The sequence below is a fragment of the Homo sapiens genome, chromosome 10 (genome assembly GCF_000001405.40).
Source record: "Homo sapiens chromosome 10, GRCh38.p14 Primary Assembly".
Taxonomy (NCBI): domain Eukaryota; kingdom Metazoa; phylum Chordata; class Mammalia; order Primates; family Hominidae; genus Homo; species Homo sapiens.
In genome coordinates this window covers 125,210,637-125,236,138 of record NC_000010.11, presented here as the reverse complement: position 1 = coordinate 125,236,138, position 25,502 = coordinate 125,210,637, and the positions used below count along the sequence as shown (strand labels likewise).

General features: G+C 48.3%; 1 long non-coding RNA gene across 2 annotated transcripts, besides 4 other annotated features; it reads right to left on the bottom strand.

Moving 5' to 3' along the window:
• Window positions 1-2,102: 2,102 nt before the first annotated feature.
• On the bottom strand, window positions 2,103-7,622 carry LOC105378541 (uncharacterized). 2 transcript variants are annotated; one of them, XR_946434.3, is made up of 4 exons: window positions 7,393-7,622; window positions 5,706-5,812; window positions 4,150-4,398; window positions 2,103-2,329 (listed from the first exon to the last, which is right to left on the bottom strand). It is a non-coding gene; the product is annotated as an uncharacterized LOC105378541 (long non-coding RNA). The 2 variants fall into 2 exon arrangements; XR_007062330.1 differs by having other exon boundaries at window positions 2,103-4,398.
• Window positions 3,875-5,074: an enhancer, noted in NCBI's record as "MED14-independent group 3 enhancer chr10:126919634-126920833 (GRCh37/hg19 assembly coordinates)". NCBI's record gives its function as "activates an origin of replication core promoter dependent on BRD2, BRD4, P300/CBP and CDK7 cofactors, and independent of MED14, by STARR-seq in HCT116 cells {active_cell/tissue: HCT116}" and the evidence as "EXISTENCE:reporter gene assay evidence [ECO:0000049][PMID:35650434]".
• Window positions 6,179-6,693: an enhancer, noted in NCBI's record as "NANOG hESC enhancer chr10:126918015-126918529 (GRCh37/hg19 assembly coordinates)". NCBI's record gives its function as "activates a minimal SCP1, AML or CMV promoter by ChIP-STARR-seq in primed H9 embryonic stem cells {active_cell/tissue: H9 hESC(primed)}" and the evidence as "EXISTENCE:reporter gene assay evidence [ECO:0000049][PMID:30033119]".
• Window positions 7,532-8,731: an enhancer, noted in NCBI's record as "BRD4-independent group 4 enhancer chr10:126915977-126917176 (GRCh37/hg19 assembly coordinates)". NCBI's record gives its function as "activates an origin of replication core promoter dependent on BRD2, P300/CBP, MED14 and CDK7 cofactors, and independent of BRD4, by STARR-seq in HCT116 cells {active_cell/tissue: HCT116}" and the evidence as "EXISTENCE:reporter gene assay evidence [ECO:0000049][PMID:35650434]".
• Window positions 18,705-19,386: an enhancer, noted in NCBI's record as "VISTA enhancer hs330". NCBI's record gives its function as "enhancer in: hindbrain (rhombencephalon)[5/5]" and the evidence as "EXISTENCE:transgenic organism evidence [ECO:0001131][PMID:17130149]".

The following is a 25,502-nucleotide window of genomic DNA, read 5'->3' as shown; positions in this document are numbered from 1 at the left end:
ACTTCAGGCACACCTGGATCCAAGAGCTCAAATTATATCTATAAAAACCTGTATTTCTATATCTTTCTGTTTTGCTTTCTCTCATGTTGACTTTATTCTCTAAAAACACTTCCCAAACAGAGCAGCACTCCCCAGCAAGGGTTTCCGAGCTGCACCACGCCATAGCCTCCCAATCATTAACATCAGAGGAAAAGAAAGAACACTTTCCAGCAAGTGCTCAAGCAAAAGTTCTGAGATGCATTCTGATTGGATGAACTTGATCACATGCCCATCCTAGATCAATCACAGTGATCAGGGAGATGATATACTTTACTTGCATGTCCCAGGTGAGGTTGGATTATCAACGCCATTCAAACCAGGAGGATTAAGAATGGAGAAATGGTGTTCTTCTGAGAAAATTTAGGGACCTATTATCAGAAAACAGTGATGGCTGCATGCTGACAAGGCAGAAACCACATTCTTTCATTGGGGTGACAGCCTATCAGGAAGGATATTATCTAATCCATTTCATGAATTACTCCTGGAGACCCAGCTGTTCTAATGAATTGAAAAAACAACAGCCTTGTGGCTCACTTTCCAATGCTGGCATCCCACAGAATTCCACCCAACGCAAATCTGATACTCTGCAATCTGTCTTACTGATAAAGCTTCTGAAACCTTCTGTGACCATGATTCCTTTCACAATGCAACTACACCAGCTCTTTGCAACAACCACTTTTCCTACTCTTCTTCTGAATTCATTACCCTACCTTGACTGAATCACCCTCAACAGATGAAGAATCTTGGCTGTCAGTTCCTCCCTAGTGAGGATTACCTGTGGTTTGGGGAGGAGTTGGCAGCTTCCTCCCCAGGGAGCTGTTCCCTTTGTCACTTATGGTTTCTGCTCCTGGGGTGGGGGCTGATGCCAACACTCACCGATGGGAAAGAGGCTCAGTTACTGCCCTCCAAGGTGTTGGTGACCCTGCCTCTTCTGCAGGCTGCTAGTTTCTTTCCGGAGTGATATCCAGCAGCCAGCCTACTGTAGACAACACAGTTTCAGCCCTTCTTGCTGAGAAGATGTTCTACTTGAATGCTGCAACAAGTGCAGCAGATGTCTTAAAGTACTCTGCATGTTTTGCCAGGGAAAATGCTATTTTTAAGAGGAATAGACGGTCATGTCAATGTGCATAACCTTTGATACAGCACCCCTGTTTCTAAGAATTTATCTTAAGGAAATTATTATAGACACACAAAGATACATGCAGAAGGATGTTCACTGAAGCACTGTTCTTAATAGCAAAAAGTTTAAAAAGGAAAGGGCCTAAATTTTCATCAATATCAAAAAGACCACAGAAATGGTGATCTCAGCTGAGTCATGGGCCCTTTTGCAACCATTGAAAACCATGTGCTTAGGCTGGGCATGGTGGTTCATGCCTGGAATCCCAGCACTTTGGGAGGCCGAGGTGGGCGGATCACTTGAGGTCAGAAGTTCGAAACCAGCCTGGCCAACATGGTGAAACCCTATCTCTACTAAAAATACAAAAATTAGACGGGCTTGGTGCTGGGTTTCTGTAATCTCAGCTACTCAGGAGGCTGAAGAAGGAGAATTGCTTGAACCTGGCAGGCTGAGGTTGCAGTGAGCCGAGATCGCACCACTGCATTCCAGCCTGGGTGACAGAGCAAGACTCCATCTCAAAAAAAAAAAAAAAAAAAAAGCTAAAATATTCACTAACTTGGAAAAAGTGGTATAAAGTGTTCAAAGTACAGTAAGAGAGAAAAAAGGCTAAAAATTAGTATATCCAGCTTATATTTTTTAAAAAGATTAATCTTGATGTACAAATTCACCTAGAAGCAGTTCTAAGAAGATACACACCAAAACACTAGCTGCGGTTATTGCTGGGTAGTATAATAACAGTTGATTTTTGGCTTTTGTGTATGAAGAACCATCATCTCATTTCCTTCTGAGTGAGATGGGAAAACTTCTACACCCTTCCAAATAGCCTCATCCACATCAGCATCAGACCACAAACACAACATCTGTTTTAAAGAAATTTGCTTCTGTTAACTGGGCTCCAAAGAACAATTGCAATTTTTTTAAAGCATGAGTATTAGCCCCGAACATGGTTTTATTGGTGGCAAAAAAAAAATTTTTTTAATGCTATAATGCTGGGAAGGGACCAACTTTCAAGACCAGAAGCAGGCTTCTGAGGCCAAGAGTCCCAGCTTGAACATAAAAGCCAGAGACAGGCCTCCCGTTGGGCTGGTATTTGAGGCAGCTCCTCTTCAACTGCTGGGCTGCTGGGAGATTTCTCTCCCATTTCCGAAACTCTGAAATGATGTTCCATTATCTCTATAATACATTTTCAAAGGACAAAATACGTGACAAAGATGAGGCTCCAAAGGTCCCTTCCAAACCCAAGGTCTGCTCAGAGATGGTGCAAATCGAACAGAAAGTTTGGCCAGAAAACAAAAGGAGGTGAAGAAGGAATCCGGGTCTTCAGGTGGCTTTATGCTGTAACCCACAGGTGATAAAGGCACCAGGCAAAGATTTTGTTCGCATTTAAATATGTGATTTTCGCTCTCCCTGGATCCCTTTATTGTTTGTTTTTCCTGCTTCTTGCTACATCTTAAATTTGAACATTATTTTAAGCAAAGTTGTTGTATGTTAATTTACTTTACCAAATACACAACCATCTCCAGGGCTGACATGATAGATGGAAACTGCAGTGGCTATTGGCCCCAAAGGCAGTCATTTGTGTTTTGAAATTCCTTAATTATATATGTACACAGCGCCTCTAATAGCCCCTGCAGAGGCACCAGGCCCGGCCGGAGTCCCTAAACACTGTCACACAAGCAGGAATAAAAACTTACAAAGGAAGAGTTTTAAATCAGTGGTGGGAATAAATCATGTTTTTAAAAATCTGTAATGTCAAATATAAGACATTCTAATCACCACATCTATAATTACAAAGCAGAGTAAATCACTAAAAAAATTAAGTGTCCTCAATATGATAAAGAAGAATAATTAACTTCTAACGCAAAGCTGGCATCCTGATGCTGGATGACTCAGGCTAACCCTTAGGAAGTAAGGATGACAAAGGAAATCAACTTTCAAAGCAGTGAGGAGACTGCCGATGGCTTCAGGAGGGGCTTGTGTCTTACTATTATACACAGCAAGACAAACAAATGAGCCACTGAAATGATCACGCATATGCAAGGGCCTCTGTGTAAATACCCAAACTTTGAAAATAAAAAAGCCTTTCTGTTTTACAGTGTACACGCTTGATGAAGAAGTAGCATGTACGTCTCTTTGCATGCACAAAGCATTTCCACAGAGCGCTATTGGTGTGGGCTCATGAAGCCCAGAGGCCCAGCTGGGCATACAGCATCATCCAAATTTTACAGAAGAGGAAACCAAAACTCAGTTGGTGCCTGGTCTATGGCTCCATGGTCAGAAGTAACAGAGCTAGGACCAGAAATCCAGTCCTCTGAGCTGTTATCCTGCAGTGCAAGGGCCTTCAATGCAAAGGATAGAAAAGAAGCCATGTGGAGGTCACCTGCGCCATGGGGCATTGGCCCAGGTAGGATGCAGGCAGGGAGGCCCACAGGGCTGGCACCAGAAACACTGGCCAGCCACCACTGGAATGGCCCAGTGAGAAGAAGCGGACACCATCTGGAGCCCAAGTCCCTACTCCTGCTGGTGGTCCCAACTCTCTTCTAGGGAGATGGCAGCAGCAACCTGGAAACAGATCCCAGGCTTGCCATTGTCCCCTAGGACACCTTGGGCAGCATGCTTAATGTTTCTACAAACAATAGTGTCCCCTTCTTGGCAGGCAGGCTAATACCTGCCCTGTGTAATTCACAGGATTGTTGTGAGGATAAAAACGAGGAAATTCACGCCTAGCACGTAAGCCAAGAGGAACTGCTGGTTTCATCGGAAGAGAAATGGCAAGTAATGAATTAAGCATATGAAAGTGCCTGTGAACTGTGAAGTGTTCACACATATGAGGGCTGTTATTATTATTCCTCTAACAAACAGTATTGAGAAGACAGCACAGCACTGGACTAGGTTCTCTAGGGGATGCCAAGTGTTGGGTGAGATGAATTCCCCATCCTTAGGGAGCTTGGGCTCTAGAAAAGCTTCAAAAAATTAAATGAAAATGGCCTTACCCACGTGAGAGTCAACAGCGGCAGAAACCGCAACCCCAAGCTCTTTGTGAGGGCTACAGGAAAATATCTGAAAGGGCTTCGGAAGCGCAGGGAGAGGTCCCAAGAGCTGAGGGTTTTTGCAAGGAGGCAGCACCTCAGAGGTCATCCAGGGTCTCAAGGGTGGTCCAGGAACCAGCAGCATCAGCAGCGCCCGGAGCAGGCCAGCCGTGCAGAATGTCAGGCCCCGCCTCAGACCTGCTGAGTCAGAATCTGCAACGTAACCAGATCCATGGTGATTCATGTCCACATTCCAGCTTGAGAAGCCCTGGGCTAGTGGATCCCAATTGCTTGAATTCCAGACTGGCTGACCCACCCAGCCTGGTGGAGGAGCTGCCCTGGGAAATCCACCCCACTCGACAGCCTCCCCATGAGGCCCCTGCCCGGAAGGGCTCAGCAACTCTGAAGCAGCCGCTCTGCCATGTGGGGTTCTATCCTATGCATTTGATTCAAGGCTTATATCTGAAGGCTCCATTCTCTGGCCACAGCATCTTAATATTAATAGGCCTCTCCCTAGCAGCAGTTACAGGGACCTCTGCAACCCTGGCTTCAGCTCCTTCAGAGGCTGAATGCCCGGTCATTGCACGGGGGTTTCCCATGGTCTCCCAAAGTAAGTTTTGTATCAGCTACATGGCTTATATGCTAAGTCAGACCAACCCAAACACACCCTTCAGGTTTGGTGAGCAACCACCCGGCTGTTCTTGCATGATGCAGTAACCAGCAGAAACGCCATTTTATCTATGGGCAGGAGGACCCTGCCACTCCAACAGTCAGTGACCCATTCAAAACCTGCACTCTTTAGTGACAGAGCTGGGGCTGCGATCCTGGTGACTGCTGCCCATCAGCACCCTCTGCCTCCCTTTGCTTCATAGTAAGATGTAACGTCTACCACAGCACGGTGAGAGGGTGGAGCGCCTTCTGTCCACATGGGCTCCGGCAGCCTGGCAGCTATGGCTGGGATGTCTAGGAGCAGCCTGCAGGGAAAATGGGCTCCAAGAACATGCTTTGAAATAACTAAAGGGGGCCAGGCATGGTGGCTCACACCTGTATTTGGGAGGCCGAGGTGGGTGGATCGCCTGAGGTCAGGAGTTTGAGACCACCCTGGCCAACATGGTGAAAACCCGTCTCTACTAAAAATACAAAAATTAGCTGGGCATGGTGGCAGGCACCTGTAATCCCAGCTACCCAGGAGGTTGAGGCAGGAGAATCGCTTGAACCCAGGAGGCAGAAGTTGCAGTGAGCTGAGATCATGCCACTGCACTCCAGGCTGAGCAACAGAGTGAGACCCTGTCTCAAAAAACATTTTTAAAAATAAAATAACTAAAGTGACCACGATTAGACCTCACACCCATGAGGATGGCTGTTATTTAAAAAGAAGAAAAAGAGAAAGAAAACAGCCAGTGTTGAGAAGGATGTGGAGAAACTGGAACCCATGTGCATTGTTGATGCGAATGTAAAATGGAACAGCTGCTGTGGAAATCAGAATGGCAGTTCCTCAAAAAAAATAAACATGGAATTACCATATGATCCAGCAACTCCACTTCTGGCTATAGACTCAAGGAAACTGAAAACAGTCTTGAAGAGGCATTTGTACACCCATGTTCACAGCAGTATTATTCACAATAGCCTAAAGATGGAAACAACCCAGACATCCACATGTGGATGAATGGATAAAGAAAATGAGGTACATACATACAGTAGAATAGTATTCAGCCATAAAAAGGGAGGAAATTCTAGCACATGCTACAACATGGATGAACCTGGAGGGCATTATACTAAGTGGAATAAGCCCATTACAAAAGGACAAATACTGCATGATTCCATTTATATGAGGTCTCTAGAGCAGTCAAATTCATAAAGACAGGACATAGAATGGTGATTGGCTGGGCTGGGAGCAGGAGGGAATGAGAAGTGAGGGTTTAATGGGGACAGAGTTTCCGCTTTGCAAGATGAAAAGGGTTCTGGAGATGGATGATGGTGATGGTTGCTGCGAATACACTTAGTACTACTGAACCACACGCTTTAAAATGATTAAAATGGTCAAATGTTAGGTTTTGTAAATTTTTTAAGACTTCATGCAATTTTTTAAAATCTGAAAAATGGTGTTCAGAGTCTCACTTGTCATCCTGTCCACATGTGCTTTGAGCCAACAGCAGCAGGTAAGAAGTGTCCATGCTGTGTGGAAGACAGTCAACTGATTTAGGAGTTGGGAAAGTTCAAGTCCAGACTCATCTCCCTTTGATGCCTCCATGAATTTGGATGAGACCACCTGCCTGCCTTTTGGAGCCTCATTTCAATTGCAGCCGAAAGCATTTGACAATCCCTATTGTCCCTGCCAGATTTCCAGTATCTGATGCTTCTCCCCAGAGCTCAGTGGTTCCCGCATTAGTTTGCACGGAAAGCTTGTTACATATTCAGATTCCTGGGTCCCAATCCCAGAGATACCGATTCAATCAGGGTCTGGAAATCTGCCATGCAACAAGCAGCCCAGGTGATTCTGACGCAAGGATTCCTCAGAACACCTTAGGAAACACTGCAGTGGGTCACTCCTGGGCTGTTTTACTGTTATTGTACAGTTTGCTGGGGGGAAAAAAATGCAGCCATTTACTAGCTGTTTGACCTTAGGTAAGTTACCAAATCTCTCTGTTCCCCTAGTTTCTTATTTTGCAAATGGGAATTACAACAGCACTGATTTCATAGATTTGTTGTGAGACTTCAATAAAATAAGTAAGTTCAAGGAAATAAAGTGCTTGGAACACTGTCATAGGGTGAGTCCCATGAAACAGACTGGGAGACTCTGAGATTTGCAGGCAGGAGGCTTACTTGGAGTGCCCTCGGGGGTCGGTGCCTATATGAGCTGGGGGTTGGACTGTAGAGGAACCTGAACAGTGATAAAATTGCTACAATGGTCTCAGATGAGCCCCTGTGAAGGTCTGGGGCTCTGATGATCCTTCAGCCAAACTGAGGTCTTTCTGCCTCTCCACTTATGGCCCAGTCATTGGGTGCAGCTACAGCTGGGGAGTCCTGGGAAATTTTCAGACAGGAGTGAGCTGGGAGCCTCAGCTGGCAATTTCCCTGGCTTGCTGTTAAGGGTCTCTGGGCAGCACCTCCCAGCATCCACTACCCTGTGCCTGCAGGTAGCGGGCACTGAGGAGACACCCATGCCTCCCCTGACTCCCCACTGCTTCCCACTGCCCGCGACGTCACCTTCCTGTGCACGTTACCCCACTGCTTCCCACTGCCCGCGATGACACCTTCCTGTGCACGTTACCCCTTCCTGTGCACGTTACCCCTTCCTGTGCACGTTACCCCACTGCTTCCCACTGCCCGCGACGTCACCTTCCTGTGCACGTTACCCCACTGCTTCCCACTGCCCGCGATGACACCTTCCTGTGCACGTTACCCCTTCCTGTGCACGTTACCCCTTCCTGTGCACGTTACCCCACTGTTTCCCACTGCCCGCGACGTCACTTTCCTGTGCACGTTACCCCTTCCTGTGCACGTTACCCCACTGCTTCCCACTGCCCGGGACGTCACCTTCCTGTGCACGTTACCCCTTCCTGTGCACGTCACCCCACTGCTTCCCACTGCCCGCGACGTCACCTTCCTGTGCACGTTACCCCTTCCTGTGCACGTCACCCCACTGCTTCCCACTGCCCGCGACGTCACCTTCCTGTGCACGTTACCCCTTCCTGTGCACGTCACCCCACTGCTTCCCACTGCCCGGGACGTCACCTTCCTGTGCACGTTACCCCTTCCTGTGCACGTTACCCCACTGCTTCCCACTGCCCGCGACGTCACCTTCCTGTGCACGTTACCCCTTCCTGTGCACGTCACCCCACTGCTTCCCACTGCCCGCGACGTCACCTTCCTGTGCACGTTACCCCTTCCTGTGCACGTCACCCCACTGCTTCCCACTGCCCGGGACGTCACCTTCCTGTGCACGTTACCCCTTCCTGTGCACGTTACCCCTTCCTGTGCACGTTACCCCACTGCTTCCCACTGCCCAGGACGTAACCTTTCTGTGCACGTTACCCCTTCCTGTGCACGTTACCCCACTGCTTGCGGTGACCTGGAGAGAGAAAGAAAGATGACCCCTTCCTGAGGCCCGTTAGTGCAGACACACCTCAGAGTCCTGAGCAGGTCAAGGCCTGCCCCCAGGAGGTGAACCTGTTGTCCCTACCTGGTGACGGATGGCTACGGCCTTAGCGTGCATACGGCCAGGTGTTCACTCCCTGCTGAACTCACTCAGTCCTCTTCCCACTTCCTCGCTGCAGTTATTCCCCGTCGTACACAAGAGAACACTGTGGCTTCGAGAGGGCCAGGGCCTTGGCCAAGCCCACAAAGGTCGAACATGGTGGAACTGCAATTTAAGCTCAGGGAGTCTGGGCCTCAGGGACGTGAGTTTAACCACAGGAGCCTACAGGGTATGTGTGGATTGGAGTGGATGTTGGTGTGGAGACAAGAAGAGGAGGTGGGACCCCCCACCGCCCCCCGGGGCCATCCTCCTGAGAGCTGGGGCTGCCCCCAGGGTTTGCTCTGCAGACACACCTGGGAGGCATCAGCACGTTATGCTTTCTCGCCAAAGAACTTAAAATGGAGACCTGGCTTCCGCTGAGTTTCCTCTCTGCCCCATTTCCCGGGGTAGCCCAGGACATCACCTCCCTCTCTGGCCTCAGCAGCAGTGAGGGTCACACAGCATGGTCTCTCTGGCAGCGTCCCCAGGCCAGCGTCAAGAAGTGGCAGTGCCTCCAAGACAAAGCCCACAAAGGACTGTGCCCAGGACTCTGCCCCATCAGCACGGCTCCCTTACCAGCCCTCAGCCAGCCTGTGCTGCGGACTCCGGCGCCCAAGAAAAGCCGAAGGCTCCCTTGGGCCTGCCAGGGCTCACCTCCAGTTCTGGGCCGCCGGATTCCTGCCCCGCCTTTGCTCAGCGCCTGACCCCTGACCCTTACAGACCACCATCCGCAGTTTCCCTTCCACCTTACAATGATGGGGCGCCCTGGGCCAGGGCTACCGCACCTCACCCCGCCCCATCCAGACTCCCAGAAGGCATGGCCCCAGGACCCACTGGGCCAGGAGAAGTAGCTGGGTACACAGCATTTAGGAGCAAGATCCAAGTTTGCTCTGATCCAAAAAGTCCAAAAAATAACTTCCAGGTTACTTGTCAATCTACTCCTCTGGTGTGGGATTTGCTTTCTGCCAGCATCTTTCCATTCCCAGAACCTGGGAGAAAACACTGACCTCTTTAGGAAGTTGGGCTCTCCCCTCACCACTGCCACCCAACTTTACAACCTTGGCCAACATCTCTGGTTGCTGCTGCTGAGAGAGGTCAAGGCCAAGGTCATACTCTAGTTGGTACATAAGCCAAGATCCACTTGAGGCCCGACTTCAGAGTGGACATTTCCCACCTTGAGTGTGCGCTGACCTTTCTAGAATGCAAGGCGGTGCAGGTAGGGCCTGTGCCTGTTGCTCTTCCACTCCCTCACATGCCCCTTGCCTAGCCGGCCAAGGAGGCTGTGCAGCCCGAGGCTCTCAAAGGCCTCTACCAAGGCCTTCTCTTCCTTCCCACCCAAGCTTCCGGCAGCCTGGCTCCAGTCTGACCCAAACCCAGATCACTGGCCAAGCAGGCAGAAGGTGCTGATCAAAAGGGCCCTCAAAGCTCATTTTATCTAATTGTGAGTCTTCACAGAGAAAGGGCTGAAAAGGGAGCTGACGTGAACAGTAAATCATGTCTGCAGAAAGAGGAGAAGCTTCCCTTGGAAATTAAGGAACGACTGTCGACAGGCCGGACCATCAGAACGCCAGCTGCCTAATGAAGCAATAAAGGCCTTTGTCCCCCCACTTCTCGCTGCTCTGCTCTTACATGTACAATTATTACAAAAATCAAAGAGAGGAATGTTGCCTTGAGATATGATTTCCATATTGGTATGGATTGTATTATACAAGCAGTACAATACGCTCCATTATCATTTTGATTATATGCGCCTTTCGTTTGCACTATTGGACCATTATCTGCCATACATTCATTACATTATAAGAAACTGGAACTATATCCTTGCAATGAATTGTAAAAAAGGATTTCTATTTTTTGCAGATTGATATTTCAGGGGAGAACATTAAACAGCAAACATTATTTGTAAAGTTTTTTTTTTAACATAAACTCTTAAAAGAAGGAAATAACCCTGATATTTCTAACAGACAGAAAGCCCCAGGCTAGATGCAATAAATGATTGCAATTTAGAATGCATGTACTATTAGGGATTCCTGATTAAATTGTAAGTTCCTTGAGAGAAAGAAGTCAAATAGATGAGGCTGGGGAAGCAGGCTGCTGGTTGGGAGAGAACAGATCCAGTCCGTGGTGAACAGCAAGACGTGGCTTAACTGGCCTCCAGGCTGCAAGGCTAGGTTCACAGGGAGCAAGGGAAGTTTCCAGGGAAGAGGAGTAGTTGTCTAAGAGTCTGGGTGGGATGCTGAAGGCTGCCAATTTCAGGTGTTCCTATGGAGAAACCCAGAAGAGGGTTTGTCTGGTTGTGACTCAAAGGCAAATCAATTCATTCCCTGACCTGTGCAAGTGAGGGAGCTGAGAGAAAGAGCTGTGCCCATGAGTGCCCCCAGCCCCTTGCTCTCAAACCCTGCTCTCAGGCATCAGGCATCAGACATGAAGCAGGGACTCCGCGTGGTGCCTCCTGCTTCAGAGGCCACACAGGGGCTGTGATCCAGGCAGACCAGAGCTCACACCTGGCTCTGCCAACGCCAAAGAGCTGTGTGTCCTAGGGCAAAGTCCTTTGCTTCTCTGATCCTCAGTTCCTCCATTGATAACATGTGGCTAATACCTAATCTAACTGGATCACATGTTTGCTAGGATGATCCAATAAACCTAGAGGTGGGAAAGTCCCTTGAAAAGCGTAGCCCTGCTTATTATATGAATAATAAAAACATAATTTCCATGTTATTGCAAACATCATTACTCTTCCCAGCTCAGTCTGTCTAAATCACAAGCATCTCTCTGCCACTCAGGGCCTAGCTTGAATGCCACCCCCTCCGTGGGACCCTTCTTGCTGCCCCCAGCCAGAAGGGTCCCACCCTCTCCTGACTCCCTCACGAGGCACTCTCTTTTCTCTTGAATCACTTTTCATGTCTGCCCTCCCTCTAGATAGGAATTTTTTAACTTCACCTCACTATCCATTCATAGTGGGTCATGAAATCAATTTTGAGGGTTGCAACCAGCACTTCTTTTTTCAATAAAATAGGCTAGAATAGAAACTATCAGAATGTAGCCAGGTGCAGTGGCTCACGCCTATAATCCTAGCACTTTGGGAGGCTAAGGCGGGCAGATTGCCTGAGCTCAGGAGTTCGAGACCAGCCTGGGCAATATGGCAAAATGCTGTCTCTACTAAAAATACAAAAAACAAAATTAGCCAGGCGTGGTGGTGCACACCTGTAATCCCAACTACTGGGGAGGCTGAGGCACGAGAATTGCTTGAACCCGGGAGGTGGAGATTGTAATGAGCCAAGATCATGCCACTTCTCTCCAGCCTGGGTGACAGAGCAAGACTGTCAAAGGAAGGAAGAAAGGAAAGAAGGGAGGGAGGGAGGGATGGAAGGAAATGCATCATGCAATGTAAAAGTGAATATTGTTCCATAAATTTTTTTTCCAAAAGTACACGAATATACTGGATCCCAATGTAGTACGTATTTCTGGTTTAAAAGTTTGACAGGCACTACATCAGAGTCTGTGCTTCCAGACGGCAAAGCATTGGCCTCGCGAGCTGTATATCCATCCCTGTGGCACAGAGCCCAGCCCCTGACTTACAAGAGGAGTATGACAAGTGTTTGTTGAATGAATCTTTGTTATTATCCTAGATATTATGTTACAGCATGATTTACAATTCGGACCCATTTGGGGCCAGGGAAAGTAAGCAATTACTGTCTCTGGGCAAAATCTCAGCTGATGGAAAGGGCCAGGTCTTTATGATCTGTTCCTGCAGAAGCAATCAGTACTCTTTTTTTTTTTTTTTTTTTTTTTGAGACGGAGTCTCACTCTGTCACCCAGGCTGGAGTGCAGTGGTGCGATCTCGGCTCACTGCAACCTCCGCCTTCCGGGTTCACGCCATTCTCCTGCCTCAGCCTCCCGAGGAGCTGGGACTACAGGCGCCTGCCACCACGCCCAGCTAATTTTATGTATTTTTAGTAGAGACGGGGTTTCACCGTGTTAGCCAGGATGGTCTCGATCTTCTGACCTCGTGATCCACCTACCTCGGCCTCCCAAAGTGCTAGGATTACAGGCGTGAGCCACCGCGCCTGGCCAATCAGTACTCTTTAGAAACAGTTTTTCCACCTGCATCAACAATCACCCAAATACTCCCGCCTCATTAGCTGCAAGGCTGGGCGGATTAAACATCCTCCTCATCCGTTCCTTACCGCGGCACACTTGGCTATGAATGGGACTAACTCAAGCTTTAGAAGATCCTTTTATACACTGTTATATTGATTTTTAAAACATTTTTAGTCGACACAATGAAAAGCTCACCCAGGGGTCTTCCTTCAACTTCAGAGTTGAAATCCATATCTTAACCTCTTACTGCCTGGAGCCTACCTTGCCCCAGAGCAACTCTGGGGACTGTGGTGGGACCTGACTTTACTCGTGTGGTTCACTAACCCCTTTTAGGATAAATATATTGATTTTTGAATAAACATTTTCATTTTCCCGTTCTCTCCAGTTTCCTAATTGCTTGACATGGAGCCTCTTGGGGTGTGTTGCATGTTGATCTTTACCGTATTTAAAAAACTAAAAAGCCCTGAGTGCTATTTTTAGAACTTGTAGCTCTTTATTTATGTGATCCTGTGTCCAGTACAAGTTCATCAATTACTTTAATTCCCACTAAATGTGGAGCTGGATTTCAAGTGGCGCTGGAAGGTTCACGCACCCTTTTAGCTCTTGGTTTAAATCTTGATGAGGGCTGAAAGTGAAGGGTCTTAACCTTTTTCTCCTTCAGCCCACCCCCAGGCCCAGGGCGCAAGATGGCATAGCTTTGTAATCCCTCAGGGAGGACAGGGATGGACTCGAGCGGAGAGCAGTCAGGGAGAAGGCAGCACCATGGAACCTCTTTGCCTTTAGGGCATTTCGTGCAAATTCAGCCTCTGCTCAGGGTCTCAGGACATGCAGCAACCTTGCAGACTGCGTCCCGGCCGTGCAGCCTGTTCAGTGAGCGCTCTACCTGCCCCGTCTGCCCCAGTTCCTAGCCCCTCCTCCAGTGACTAACCCCACCCTGGCTCCCCAGAGGCCACCTGACAACCTCTGCCTCACCTGCACTTCCGCCCACCAGACTGAGAACCGGAAACCTTAGACAGCCAGAGCTGAGGGAGGGATTGTTTAGAAGAGGAAGGGGTGGGTGCTACAAGCTCCCAGCCATCCACTTACTGGGAGTCCACCATGCACCAGGCCTGCAATGAAGGGGAGAGGTGTGGTCCCTGCCTCCAGGGGAGACAGTCACAAAACCCCTGATATAGGACAAATGCTTACCCCAAGGTGAATGTATTAGCAGAGGGGGCTTTGGGGAGGTGACTCGGTGATGAAGGCAGAGCCCTCATGGATGGATGAACATCCTTCCAGGAAGAAACACGAGGGGGCTTGCTTCCTCCCCTGCTCTCCGCCATGCAAGGACGCAGGAAGAAGGTGTTGTCCATGAACCAGAAATCAGGCCTTCCACACACACGGGATCTACCAGCACCTTAATCTTGGACTTGCGGCCTCTGGAACTGTGAGGACTAAATGCCTGTTGTTTAAGCCTCCCAGTCTCTGGTATTTTGGTTATAGCAGCCTGAACTGACAGGAGTGAAAATCAGATGTGGCGGGCTGGAGATAAAAGGGGAAAGTAGGAAGTACAGGTGGCAAGAGTAGCCCATTCCTTCAAAAAGCTCTCCTGTGAGCAGGAGGCAAAGGGGGCACCCAGGACGGACAGAAGGTCACTGACAAGGAGGAAGCATGACTGTGTGCGAAGGAGGAGCAGCCAGCGAGGGGAGGAACAGTCTGTGCAGAAGTGCAGGGACGCCAAGAGGTGAGGAGCGAGGGTGGGGAGGCTGTGGCTGGGAGGAAGGGAAGTGATTCCGCATCAGCATCTGCCACGCTGGTCTATGAGGTCCTGTGAGGTACTGACTGGTGTTCAGTTGTCAACCAAGTAGAAGCAACACCAGGTTACAAAGCCAAATGAGCTTCATGATAGCAGAAGTGCTCAGAACCAAAGTCATCTCAGGCCAGTCACATTCAGAGAGAAACAGTGGTCAGCTATCCGAATGTTTTCCAGCACTTTCCAGTCCTCTACTCCACTTTGACTCCAACAGCAAAGTACATGGACCTGGTGGGACCATGTGTGTGCCCAGGTCACACTGAGATCCAGCTCCCTCTTGCTGGATAATGTGCACATTTCTATCTAGGAGGGGCTGAGGGGCTGCAGGGTTATCCAAACTCGGGCTAAAGATGCTGTTTTCTTAGCAGCTGTTGCTGGAGACTAAGTGTTCTGTGGATCGCAGTTTTGGAAAATGCTCTAAAAACTGGTTAAGGTGCTAGAGAGGAAGGTGTCAGAGTGCTGGAGAGGTCCCTGCCTGTGGACCCCACTTTCTCTGGAAAGTGGGGGGCAAGTCCCTCTCTCGCCACTTCAGGGAAGCTGTGTGAGCTCAGTTTGGGAAGATGCCACTGGAGAGAAGGATCACAAACTGGCCAGACCGGAAACCACCTGTGGCTGCCTTTCCTTTCCTTTTCTTTTCTTTTCTCTTTTCTTTTCTTTTCTTTTCTCTTTTCTTTTCTTTTCTTTCCTTTCCTTTTCTTTTCCTTTCTCTCTCTCTCTCTTTTTTTTTTTTTAAGACGGAGTCTTGCTCTGTCGCCCAGGCTGGAGTGCAGTGGTGCGATCTCGGCTCACTGCAAGCTCTGCCTCCCAGGTTCACGCCATTCTCCTGCCTCAGCCTCCCAAGCAGCTGGGACTACAGGTGCCCACCACTGCGCCCGGCTATTTTTTTTGTATTTTTAGTAGAGATGGGGTTTCACCGTGGTCTTGATCTCCTGACCTCGTGATCCACCCGCTTCGGCCTCCCAAAGTGCTGGGATTACAGGCGTGAGCCACTGTCTTTTTCTTTCTTCTTTTTTTTTTCAAGTTCTCACTCTGTTGCCCAGGGTGGAGTGCAGTGGTGCAATTACAGCTCACTGCAGCCTCAACCTCTGGGGCTCAAGCAATCCTCCCACCTCAGCCTGCCAAGTAGCTGGGACTACAGGTGCGTGCCACCATGCCCAGCTGACTTTTGTATTTTTTTATAGAGACGGGCTATTGCCATGGTGCCCAGGCTGATCTCAAACTCCTGGGCTCAAACGGTCCACCCACCTTGGCCTACCACAGTGCTGGGATTGCAGGCGCAAGCCCCTGCACCCGGCCTGACCCCATTTCTAATCCTGGTTTTCATGGGATGATTTTTCTCCAACGGCGTTCGGCAGCCCTGGTGAAATATAGCAGAGGCAGATAAGGAGGGATGAAGAAGGAAGAGGGGCTTTCAGCAGGGCTATTGGATTGAAGGAGCGCTGGCCCAGAGTCAAGGAAGCTGGGTTCTGGTCCCAAATCTGGCAAGCCGGTCACCCTGGGCATGCTGCTGAAAGCCTGTGAGCTCTGGTTTGCTCTTCTGCAGCTGGGCTTCATGTGCCCGTCCTGCCTGCTTCCAGAGGGACGTGACAAGAACGAAATGGCCCCGTAGATCTGGATGTCCTTGGCAAATTACAAAAATGTGCAAGGGGCTTTTGTTGGAACTTAGGTCCTCTCCTTTTAGGTGCTCATGGTATTTCAAGTCCAGAAGCAATTCAGGCTGTTTCTGAGAGTGGTCATCGCAACAGCCACCACTGGAGAACTGACACTCAGACCTCCTGGCCACCAATCAGTGACCCACAGGTGGAAGGAAACTGGGCCTACAGTGTGCCTGAGAGATTGGCCAATGCCTCAGAACCCTGCTTGCTTGGCTACCAGGCCTGCCTTCATTCATTCATTCACCCAACAGAGATTTGGTGGTTTCTGTCTGTGCGTGGTAGCTGGGAGGCCACAGGGAATGGAACAGACACAGTCACTGCCTGCACCAAACCCACGAGCCGCTGGCACTGCAGCCCAGACAATGTGATGTCCTGGAAGAGTTTCCTAATGGCGGATTGTAGGAGCGATGAGGTTGGAATAGGGGACCAGGGGCCTAAACCCGACTAAGGACTTTGGATTTTGTCCTTAGAATGTGCGGCACCAGCTAAGAGTTTTAAGATGTAAAGTGGCACATATTTACATTCTTTACATGTCATTTAGGCCAGGGGTCAGCAGTCGTGTCCTATAAAGGAACCTGAGAGTAAATATGTTAGGCTTTAGGAGCCAAGAGGCAAATTGAGGACATTATGTAAGGACAGGTATAACAAGAGAAAAAACACATTTCCAGAAAATTTCTGTCGATGAATATGGGTTTATTCTTGTAACATAGGTCTGCTACTGAGAAGAATCAACTCTCTTTTGAAAGGGATAGCATTTTGCCTAATTGAGGTTCAAAGTTAAGGTTCTTTATCATCATATTGATTCCAAATGCTCATCTATAAAAACTGCTCTTCGCTCGTGGGCTGCACAAAAGCAGGCAGTGGGCCCCTGGTTTAGAGCAGACACGGTCAAGGATGTAGAAGGAGGTCCACTCCCTCAAGGGGAGAAGAGTTGATGAAGCTGCAATCCTGGAACAGGTGGAGTCCACCCAGGGGAGGTTCCCAGGAAGGCATAGGCTAAAGGTCAACAAGAACAGTGCAAACCCCAGCGGGTGACCAAGGAGAGGGATCATTTGCATTAAGGCACAAAGTCAACAGGAGTGGCTGCAGAGCTCACAGAGCAGGACACAGGACCCAGAAGCCCCCAAGGGCCACAGGGGCCACAGCTCCAGGGTAAGAAGAGGCCTGCTCAGAGGGCATCTGGGGAAGACCTCTCCAGCTCCAGGGTAGAAAAGGAACAGAGGGGTCTCAGGCCTGGGTGCTGCCCAAGGCCAGGTGAGTAGTGAGAACCCAGACAGAGGGAAGTGTGAAGGGCTGCAGAAGAGGGCCATGGGAGACAGGCCAGGGCCTCAGGACAGGAGACTGGGGTCCCCCAGGCTCCCACTTGGGTGCTGAAGTTGGGGGTGACACCAGCTCAGGGGGTCCCATGAAACACCTAGTCATGCAGGGCTGAAACTCAAAAGAGAGGACTGAGCCAGAGAGACCCATCTGGATTTTCAGCAAAGAGCTGACCAGTGAACCCTCAGGAAACGCTGGAGTGCAAATGGCACCACCAAGAATCAGTCCCAGGAAAGAGGCACAAAGGCCGGGAAGAGGACTGGGCAATGAAGAGTCGCCCTTAGAGAACAGGAAAACCAAGAACGGGAGGTCAGAGAAAGAAAACTCTGCCAGAAGAGGGAGCATCAGCAGGGAGGTCCAGGCCCTGCAAACATGAGGGTGCCCAGAGCTGCCTTCAGGGTAGGTGGGGACAGGAGCCAGCCATGGTGGCAGGAAGATCAGATGGGATGTGAAGACACAATCCAGGACAGGGAGGACAGACAAGTCTTCCCAGAAGCTTGCCTGGGAAGGAAAAGAAAGATCTGGAGCCAGAGTTGAGGGACAGGTGTCAATGCTGAGGAGAAGAAGCCAGGAAAGAAAGAAGAATAAAGGTGAAGTGTGAGTTGTATTTCGACATTAGATCCTTCATCTTATCCCAAAGGAGACTAAGCAATTCCATAACTGGGTGTGGGCTCTGGGCCGCATGATTCAGTGTACTTGGTATGAAGCTTTCAGATCCAGTATACTGGTTCTAAATTAGTATACCATTTGTTTCTTTTAAATAGTATACTAATCTGCCCTTTTTATATTTGATGGAGTTAATTTTACGACTTAAAAAGTGAATTTTGGCTGGGCAAGTTGGCTCACGCCTGTAATCCTAGCACTTTAGGAGGCCAAGGTGAGCAGATCACCTGAGGTCAGGGATTCAAGACCAGCCTGGCCAACATGGCGAAACCCCGTCTCTGCTAAAACTACAAAAATTAGCCGGGTGTGGTGGCTCATGTCTGTAATCCCAGCTACTTGGGAGTCTGAGGCAGGAGAATCACTTGAACCCAGGAGGCAGAGATTGCATTGAGCCCAGATCATGCCACTGCACTATAGCCTGGGTGACAGAGTGAGAATCCGTCTCAAAAAACAAAAAAAAAAAGTGAATTTTATAACTTAATGTGCCTTCGCTTTTTGCTTTGGCTCCCAGGAAGCTCAGAGCTAGTCTGCAGGCCAAATTTAATAACTACATAGAAGAACAAGATTTGCAGATCTGAATTATTTTCTCCCCTTAGTCGTATCACGCTATTCTGTCCATATCCCCTAATTGTATTTTTATTTTTAAATTTCTGTCTGTGTTCCATTGTTTTCTTTTAGCGGGCTGCTTGAGATGTTTGGTGAAATGAGGCAACGTGCCTGTGATTTTGTTTTCCACCCCAGTTGCCGGGGCATGCTCTGAGGCTTGCAATTTCCGTGGGCACAGCCAGGTGAGTTTGGGTGGCGTCGTCTGATCCCCACTCTTGACCCCTTGGCCCCTGCAGCTCTCCGAGCAGAGAAGTTGTTCTTCTGTCACTGCTTGCACATTGGTGAGCAAAAAGATGGAAAAGCCAGTGTGATTTCCAACTAATCTTGACTAAGTCAGATATAGGGGGTTTTTTCCCCACCTCTGGGAAGATTGTCAAGTGAAACAATGTGGCTTTGAGCTTCTGACAGATGCTAATGAATTGTTGTTTACATTTTTGATTTACTGCCTAAACAAAGATAAGACATGCTCTTGAAAACACATTGAATGCACAATCCAAACACATCCATTAAATCTGTCACAATAAACATGACAGCTTTCTTCTAACCTAACAACTGGCATGCCTCATTTGCATATTAATGAGAAAACCGGGATCAGCCGCGCAAATTACTTATATCTCATGAAGGGGCTGCTCCTGATGACAGCGAGACACTTGGGGGTGTAAATACACCACGTTAATACCTTTGCTGTTTTGGTGCCTTTTCCCTCTCTGTGCTTGGGCTCTGTGCGCCAGGTTGGATATTTCCGTTAAGCTGTGTGGGGGCAGGGGCCCCTGACGGGAGTCATCATGGGCCCAGAAAGAGCTGGATTGGCCTCAAATCCTGCCAACACTCCAAGAACACTTAGTGAGCACCTACTACGGCCTGGTCAACAGTTTCCAATTGCAGTTGAACTTGATCATGAATTGCATTCAAATGAACCAAGAGAAAAATATGAGAATTTACTGGTACCAACCAGGTGTGACTTTTCACATGCATCATCACATTTAAACCTCACAGGAAGCCTTAGAACAGGGTGCACAAAAGTAAAAGTGCAAGGACCCCGACTCCCATTCCTCACCCACGGCAGACATAGCTAGTCAATGCCAGAACTCCTTCCAGCTGAGCCTGGAATCAAACTCGCAATGCTCAAGGCAAGACTTCAAGAGGCTGCCACCATCCAAAGGATCCACACAGGTGATGAAGCCCCATTGGTGTCCTGCCTTAGGACAGGTATGATTGTTGACATTACAGAAATGAGAAAAAGACCCATTTGGAAAAGTTAGGGGACCTACCAGGTCACCAGGCAAGGAAGAGGCAAAGTCGAGATTCCACCCTGGGTCTTCCAGCCACCAGCCCAGTTCCCTCCTCACTTCTGCCGCTTCCTAGAGCACCTCACGGCTCCACTCTTTACACAGCTTCACCTGGGCCTATGTGTCTAGGTAGGAATTAAGTTGATTATGATTGAAGGTATCAGCAACAAGATAACTCAAATTGAAGGGGCCAGAGAACATAATGCTTCCAGGAAGAAGTGGTCCAGGCCCCAACACCACAGTGATGTCTTCAGAGTCACGAACGCTGAAAGTCTGCAGGATATCCCATCCTCAGACACGCTTGGGTCTGCACCCCACTCTGGCTGCCTGGGGCAATTCCCTTCATTTCCCTGAGTCTCATTTATAAAAAGGAAATGATAGCTCTCACTTTCTACCACCATCATGAGCATAAAAGGGATTTTGCTCTAAAGAACTTAGCACAAAGCCTGCTCAATAAATGGTGGTTTAAAAATGCCAAACCCTCACCACCAGAGGTTTTGCTAAATCTTTTACTCCAGCTGGCTCCACCCAGCTGCTTCTTCCTTGCTATACGCCAGACTCAAGAGTGCGGCAGTTACTCTCAGAAAGTGCCATGCCATCTGAGGGAGACTCACACCTAAAGAGAAGCTCTCCTTTCCCCTTCTTCCCTCTGCTCCTCCAGCATCTTCTTCAGGAAGGGCCTGTCCCTGAGCTGGAACTGCCAAGTCAGGGTGGTGCAGGCCCTGCCCACAATCCAAAATCCCCAGGTCAGGCAACTCAGCCCTGGCTTATTCTTTTAGAGCTCCCATCCTCATTCCACATTGCAGCACCCACATCCCAGGCTTTGGCCCCTGGCCATTGAAAGGCCCGCTGGGTGTCCAAGGTGGTGTTCACAGAGGCCAGGTGCTCAGAATCTGCTGACAAGAAGACCTCAAGTGTACAAGGTGGAGAGAGCCAAAGGCACTCTATAAAAAGGAATTCTCAGGGATGCTGCCACTGGGCATTTTTATTACAGATTAATCTATCCACATTACTTCACAAGAGAAAAAAGGTCCTATTCCTATTGAATTAGATGCACATGGAAATATTTCCAATGCTGCAACTCTTTCCCCTACTGATTTCCTTTTCCTTTTCTTTTTTCTTTTTTTTTTATTTTTTTATTTTTTTTCATTTTCTTTTTAGAGACAGGGTCTTGCTTTGTTGCCCAGGCTGGAGTGCAGTGGCACAGTCATGGCTCACTGCAACCTCAAACCCACCTAAGCCTCCCAAAGTGTTAGGATTACAGGCGTGAGCCACCACACCTGGCCTGATTTTCTTTAACTACCACGTCTTGATATCTTTAAAAAAAAAAAACAAAAAAAAAAACAAAACGGAGTCTCGCTGTGTCTCCCAGGCTGGAGTGCAGTGGCATGATCTCGGCTCTCTGCAACCTCTGCCTCCTGGGTTCCAATGATTCTCCTGCCTCAGCCTCCTGAGTAGTTGGGATTACAGGTGTGCACCACCACACCCAGCTAATTTTTGTATTTTTAGGAGAGACAGGGTTTTGCCATGTTGGCCAGGCTGGGCTCGATCTCCTGACTTCAAGTGATCCACCCGCCTAGGTCTCCCCAAAGTGCCGGGATTACAGGCATGAGCCACTGGGCCTGGCCCAAGATCTTTGTGTTAGGCTCATGCTAGATGTTACATGTTGTGGGAAGCTCCTAAGATGACCCCCAGTGAAAGCCCCTCTCCTGGTTTTCACCCCCTTGATACCTGTCCCTTGAGTGTGGGCTGGACTTGACAGCTCACTTCTAACAAACAGGATATGACAGGGGTGATGAATGTCACTTCCGAGATTAGGTTATAAAAAGACTATGGCCTCTGTCTTGGGCTCTCTCTCTCTCTACTCACTCTAGGGGAAGCCAGCTGTCATGTCATGAGGCACCCGGAGCCTCTGCATAGCAGGGAGCTGGAGGCAGACTCAGCCCAAAGCCAGTAGGAGTTGGAGGGCCTCATTCTACCAGCTTACAGGGGACTGAAGGCTAGCTACAATTATGTGTGTGAGCTCACATTGCAGTCAGGCTGGGGATTCCGTCTTGGCCAAGTCTTCAGACGAAACTGTAACCCAGGCCACAGCTTGACTGCAGTGTTGTTGGTGACCTTGAGGCAGAGGCACCAGCTCAGCTGCACCTGGATTCCTGACTCAGAAACTATGAGATAATAAATGTTTATTGTTTTCAGCTGCTAAATTTGAGGGCAATTTATTATGCCATAATAAATAATACATATTAAGTGGAACCATATAAAATTGTTACTTATTAAGTTTTTAAAAGTTAAATGTCAGCAATTTCTTATGAGTCAAACCAAATGCTTTATCCTATTTATTTCATATAACGTCCTGCAAGCTACCTGCTCTTTAACCTCACTCAAAAAATGTGGAAATAGACTCTCAAAAGTTAACAAATACAGCATGCCTCTCCTGTACCAGTAGTTTTGCTAGGCACCAGGGGACGAATGAATGGGACACAGTCATTGCATTAAGAAAACAGAGGGGCTCTGTTACAGGCTTCAAACAGACAGAAAGCCAGAGCCACCCATAGCTGAGTCAGTGTGGGAATTCCTGCAGTGCCCCGGCCGACCGAAACGTAGAGCATGAAACACACAGACATTTGACGGTAATTATCTCAAAAAGATCAGACCGGTGACATTTCTGCAAGGAGACCAATTCTGCCACAATTCCTTCCATCTATTAGTCACTATCTCACAATTATTTTGCCTTTTCTAATCAGCAGTGAGGCATTTGAAGCCCTTTCTTGAACACATTTATCATCTCCAATACTACGTGGACAGAATCAATTTTATTTACCCTTGCTAAGCCTACCAGGATCTCATTTGTAATTAGAGAAGTACGTGTGAGGGAAAGGATTTGTTGTTGCTAAATTAGGTCAAATGTTCCATCCTTGGCGTGTCTGGCGTGTTTATAACATGCCCTCCATGGCTGGTGGCAGGCGGACTCAAGTGCCCAACAACGTCCTTCCCTAAATCAATGCTCATCATGGTTTTTCCTATCTAAGTTGCTTCAGGGATTGTCCCAGCTGTCCCTAGCCTATCCAAGGAGTTCCCTGCTGGAGGGAGATTGTTCGCAGTCCCCTAGAGCTGAACCTGAAATTGATTTTGCCTACTCTAGTACGATCTGCAGACAAGGAAGAAACCACGAAATGGTGGCCAAAGAAAGACACCCGTGGCACCTCAAAAGTGACAAAACATTGAGAAGCAATGCCCATCGTAATTCTCCATTTGTGTCCAAATGGGAACCTCCTGGGGAACCAAGAGGGCACTTCTGATTAGCAAAAGGATATCTTAGGAAGCACATTCACCTCCCATTCCTCACCCAACCCTTGGTGCTTCCAAGCTTCACCTTGAATGGACCTCTCTCCTTCTCCTGATGGCAAACTGAAGGGCTCTGAAGAGGTAATACATTTCCGGGTCAGGAATGACCCACAATATAACTCAATCTGTGTTATAACTCCCCTCTTTCTCACCTTTTTAACTTCCCAGTACAGAGCAGACAGCTGTGCTCAGGAACTGCATCTCCCAAGGGTCTTTATTTGGGGAATATGACAAGAAGGAAAAAATGGAAAACACACCCTCAGGTGTCACAAGGGAGAGGATGATCCAGCAGCAGTTTTCCCCCTCTTTTCCCATTAAAGTCCTACCTGACAGCCTACCCCATGGAGAAGCTTCATAGGAATTAAGATATTCCAGATATTCTCAGGAAAATGAAATATTGAAGAATGGCTTCCTGAGCTGATAATGGTGGTACATTTGAAAAATAGACCAGAGTGCCGTGTTTAAAAGCCTAAAGTCATAAAAGGTATTATGAATGGATGGATGGGGAACCTCTACAAGCAGACTTCATTGATGTCACCGTAAACGATGAATGCTGTCACTCTTTTTTATATGTAACAAGAAGATATGCTGCTGCATCCAGATCTCATTGTAGAAGCTGTCAGACTCACTGAAATGGCATTGCATAAGCTATTTATGATGATATGAGGGAAAATACAAGGTTAAGAGATCTTTATCTGCTATCTATGGAAATGTGCTTCCACACGAAGGCAGTACATGAAATAACCTTCCGGATAACCCACGACATTGGGGGAGCTGTAAAGTGAGATTAACCAGCAGAGACAGGTCTGCATTCAAATTATGTTTGTCCTCACCCTGATGCCTTGGCCTCATGAACACACAGGTGTTTTTCTAGCTTTCTCTATGTAAAATCCCACTCCGAGTTTTACAGCACTCATTGGTGTGACAGATTCATAAATGATCCAACAAAAAATTCATGCGCCACCTTTCAGAAGATAGCAGGGCAGCGGAGAACAGCTGCCCAGGCACAGATGACGTCTCCCAGCCACCCTTGCCTTTGTCATGGCCAAACCACAGGCTACAAGTGGAGGGGAGGTGGTCATTTCCAGGCAGGAGTTTTTCAAAATCAGGTGTGCTTCCCCCATGATCTCTCCAGGTTTCCAATGCCCTGGGGGGGTAGAGGATTTCCAGGCTCTAGGGGATGGTGGAGCTATGACAAGAAAAACCCTGGGCCCTGAGTCACCCCATGGAGAAATGACACCACCAACCCAGGACCAATCCACACCGCACTTTATATAAATGAGAAGTTAACTTCTATTTCACTGCCCAGCCAACTAAAATTTGCAGTTTGTTATAACAGCTAGTGTTATCTTTATTAGTTGATATGGTTTGGCTCTGTGTCCCCACTCAAATTTCATGTTGAATTGTAATCTCCAGTGTTGGAGGAGGGGCCTTGTGGGAGATAATGGAATCATGGGGGCCGACATCCTCCTTGCTCTTCTTGTGATAGAGTTCTCACAAGATCTGGTTGTTTGAAAGTGTGTAGCACCTCCCCGCCCCCTCTCTCCTGCCAGCCATGTGAAGATGTGCTTGCTTTCTCTTCACTTTCTGCCATGATTGTAGGTTTCCTGAGGCCTCCCCAAAAACAGAAGCCTGTATAGGCCAAAGAACCATGAGCCAATTAAACCTCTTTTCTTTGTAAATTACCCAGTCTCAGGTATGTCTTCATAGCAGTTTGAGAACAGACTAATACATTAGTACAATTTGGTAACTTTCTAAGAAATTTATTCATTTAGTTATACTTGCATTCATACCATGAATGGGAGGAAATATGGTGCAGCAGCCTCCAACAGGTCTGGAGTCAAGACCTGCATGTGCCACTGGACTTGAGGTACCATGGGAAAATTGCTTATACTCTCTCAGCCTCCATATTTGTTTTTGTAAAATGAAGATTTTAAAAATCCTGACCCTTATTCACAACAGCCAAAAGGTAGAAGCATCGAACATCTGAGCAACCTGTTCATCAACAGAGGAGCAGATAAAGTGTGAAATGCACACACTGGAGAATATTATTCAGCCTTGAAAAGACGTTATGCTAAGTGAGGTGAGCCAGCCACAAAAACACCAAGACTGCAGGATTTCACTTTCTGAGGTTGCTAGAGTTGTCAGACTCATAGAGACAGAAAGTAGAAGGGTGGTTGCCAGGGGCTAGGGGAGGGGAGACTGGAGAGTTGTTCAACCATGCCCTTGAATCCAGGAGTTTGTACAGGCCCCAGGCCTGCCTGAAAGAAGCAAGAGCCTCCACTTCGGGTTCCCTGAGCCAAAAAAGG